The sequence below is a fragment of the Homo sapiens genome, chromosome 2, assembly GCF_000001405.40.
Source record: "Homo sapiens chromosome 2, GRCh38.p14 Primary Assembly".
Classification (NCBI taxonomy): Eukaryota; Metazoa; Chordata; class Mammalia; order Primates; family Hominidae; genus Homo; species Homo sapiens.
This window is the reverse complement of record NC_000002.12, coordinates 34,543,161-34,546,271: the sequence shown is the minus strand read 5'-3', so window position 1 is coordinate 34,546,271 and position 3,111 is coordinate 34,543,161. Positions and strand designations below refer to the sequence as shown.

Here is a 3,111-nt window from a genome sequence, read left to right as displayed (position 1 = left end):
GATGAGATTTGGATGGGGACACAAAGCCTAACCATATCAGTGAGAAACAAGAGAACACAGTAAAACTGTACAAATAAATAATTTAAAAAATACAGGATATGAATGATAAATTTACCAAAGAGTAGCTATCATTAAAAAAAAAAAAAAGAGCTTTTTTATATGCAGGGCCAAGATGGCCAACTAGAAGCAGCAATGATCGGAGGCTCCCGTTGCAAAGAACCAAAACAGTATGCAAATCCTGCACTGGCGACCGAGGTATTCAGGTTCAGTCATCAGGACTGACTAGGTGGCTGGTGTGACCCACAGAGAGGAAGGAAGAGCAGTGTGGTGTTGTGGCCCACCTGAGAGCCACAGGCGGCAGGGGAACACCCACCCCCAGCCAAGGGAGGTGGTGAGTGAGCATGCTACCCAGCATGGGAAACCGTGCTTTTTCCACGGAACTGTGCAACCTACAGATCGGAAGATCCCGCTCATAAGCTCACACCACCAGGGCCTTGGGTCCCAACCACGGAGCCACATAGATTCTCAACAGCCACGCAGCTGAAATCTGCCTTATCCTGCTGAGTTCCCCAGGCTGGGAGGGGCAGCCATCACCACTGCAGCTGCTGCTTGCTATCTAAGCCTTTTGAGCTCACTGGGGGAAGGGGCGGCAGCCAACACTGTGGCTGCTAGCTATTTAACCCACTAAGCTACAGGTGGGCAGCCCAGCAGCCATCACTGTAGCTCCAGGCCACACTTTTCCCCTGCTGGAGCCAGGGAGGCTGGATGGCTTGGTCCCAAGAGGTATTCTCCACAGCCCAGCACACCAGCTGTGGCAGACCATGGCCAGATTGCCTCTTCAGGCCAGACCCTGATCCATTTATCCTCACTGGGCGGGGCCTCCCTGAAGGAGTTTTAACAACTCCAGCCAGGGTCTGGGGACAGAACTCTGATCTCCCTGGGCCTGAGACCCTAGGGGGAGGGGTGCCTATAGTGCAAGTGGACCAGCAGACTTAGTCTTTCTCCTGCTAGCTCTGAGGAATCTGGGCATCATAGACGAGTGGGTTTCTCTGCAGCACAGCACACACCCCCCCCCTTCACCAAGGGACAGCCAAAGTGCTTCATTAAGTGCGTTCTGCTTCCTGTGCCACCCAACTGGGTGAGACCCCTACAACAGAGGTCATCAGACACTTCATATAGGAGCATTCCTACTGGCATCAGGTCGGTGCCCCTCAAGGTCAGAGATCCCAAAGGAACCACCCATCTTTGCTGTTCTCCAGCCTCCATGAGTGACATCTCCAGGCGCGGGAGCAAACCAGATGAATAGGACCTGAAGTGAACTCTCAGAAAACTGCAGCAGCCCTACAGAAGAGAGACCTGACCATTGAAAGAAAAAACAAAAAACAGAAATCAACAACAACAGCACCAACAAAAAAAGTCGCCACAAAAACCTCATCCAAGGGTCAGCAGCCTCAAAGATCGAAACTAGACAAACTCAGGAAGATGAGAAAGAACAAAAAAAGGCTGAAACCCAAAAGGCCAAATGATCGCAACTCCTCTCCAGCAGGGGCATAGAACTGGACAGAGGATGAGATGGATGAATTGACAGAAGGAGGTTTCAGAAGGTGAGTAATAATAAACTTCGCTGAGGTAAAGAAGCATGTTCTAACCCAGTGCAAAGAAGCTAAGAACCATTATAAAAAGTTATAGGAGCTGCTAACTAGAATAACCAGTTTAAAGCATAACAAAAATGACCTATTGGAGCTGAAAAACACAGCACGAGAACTTTGTGAAGCATACACAAGTATTAATAGCCTGATTTCAATCAAGCAGAAGAAAGAATATCAGAGATTGAAGACTATCTTGCTAAAATAAGGCAAGCAGACAAGAGTAGAAAAAAAATGTAAAGGAATGAACAAAACCCCCAAGAACTATGGGACTACGTAAAAAAAAAGTGAACCTACAACCAACTGGAGTACCTGAAAGAGATAGGTAGAATGAAACCAAGTTGGAAAACACACCTCAGGATATTATCCAGGAGAACTTCCCCAACCTAGCAAGACAGGGCAACATTCAAATTAAGGAAATACAGAGAACCTCACTAAGATACTCCCTGGGAAGATCAACCCCTAGGCACATAATCATCAGATTCTCCAAGGTTTAAATGAAGGAAAAAATGTTAAGGGCAGCCAGAAAGAAAGTCCAGGTCACCTACAAAGGGAAGCCCATCAGGTTTAACAGCAGATCTCTCAGCAGAAACCATACAACCCAGAAAAGAGTGGGGGCCAATATTCAACATTCTTAAAGAAAAGAATTTTCAACCCAGAATTTCATATCTGTCCAAACTAAGCTTCATAAGCGAAGGAGAAATAAAATCCTTTTCAGACAAGCAAATGCTGAGGGAATTTGCCACCACCAGGCCTGCCTTGCAATAGCTCCTGAAGGAAACACTAAACATGGAAAGGAAGAACTGGTATCAGACACTGCAAAAACACACCAACATATAAAGACCAATGACACTATGAAGAAACTACATCAACTAGTGTACAAAATAACCAGATAGCATCATGATGACAGGATCAAATTCACACATAACAATATTAACCTTAAATGTAAGTGAGCTAAATGCCCCAATTAAAAGGCACAGACAGGCAAATTAAATAAAGAGCCAAGACCCATCAATATGCTGTATTCAGAAGACCCATCTCATGTGCAAAGACACACAGGCTCACAATAAGGGAATGGAGGAAAATTTACCAAGTAAATGGAAAGCAGAAAAAAACAGGGGTTGCAGTTTTAGTCTCTGACAAAACAGACTTTAAACCAACAAAGATAAAAAAAGACAAAGAAGGGCATTACATAATGGTAGAAGGATCACTTCAACAACAACAGCTAACTATCCTGAATACATATGTACCCAATACAGTAGAACCCAGATTCATAAAACAAGTTCTTAGAGAACTACAAAGACACTTGGACTCCCACACAATAAGAGTAGGAGACTTTAACACCACACTGTCAATATTAGATGGATCATCAAGACAGAAAATTAACAAGGATATTCAGGACTTGAACTCAGCTCTGAATCAAGTGGACCTAATACATATTTACAGAACCCTCCACCCAAAAACA

At 44.8% G+C, this 3,111-nt stretch overlaps 1 annotated feature.

Moving 5' to 3' along the window:
* Positions 528-1,105: an enhancer, noted in NCBI's record as "H3K27ac-H3K4me1 hESC enhancer chr2:34770234-34770811 (GRCh37/hg19 assembly coordinates)". NCBI's record gives its function as "activates a minimal SCP1, AML or CMV promoter by ChIP-STARR-seq in naive H9 embryonic stem cells {active_cell/tissue: H9 hESC(naive)}" and the evidence as "EXISTENCE:reporter gene assay evidence [ECO:0000049][PMID:30033119]".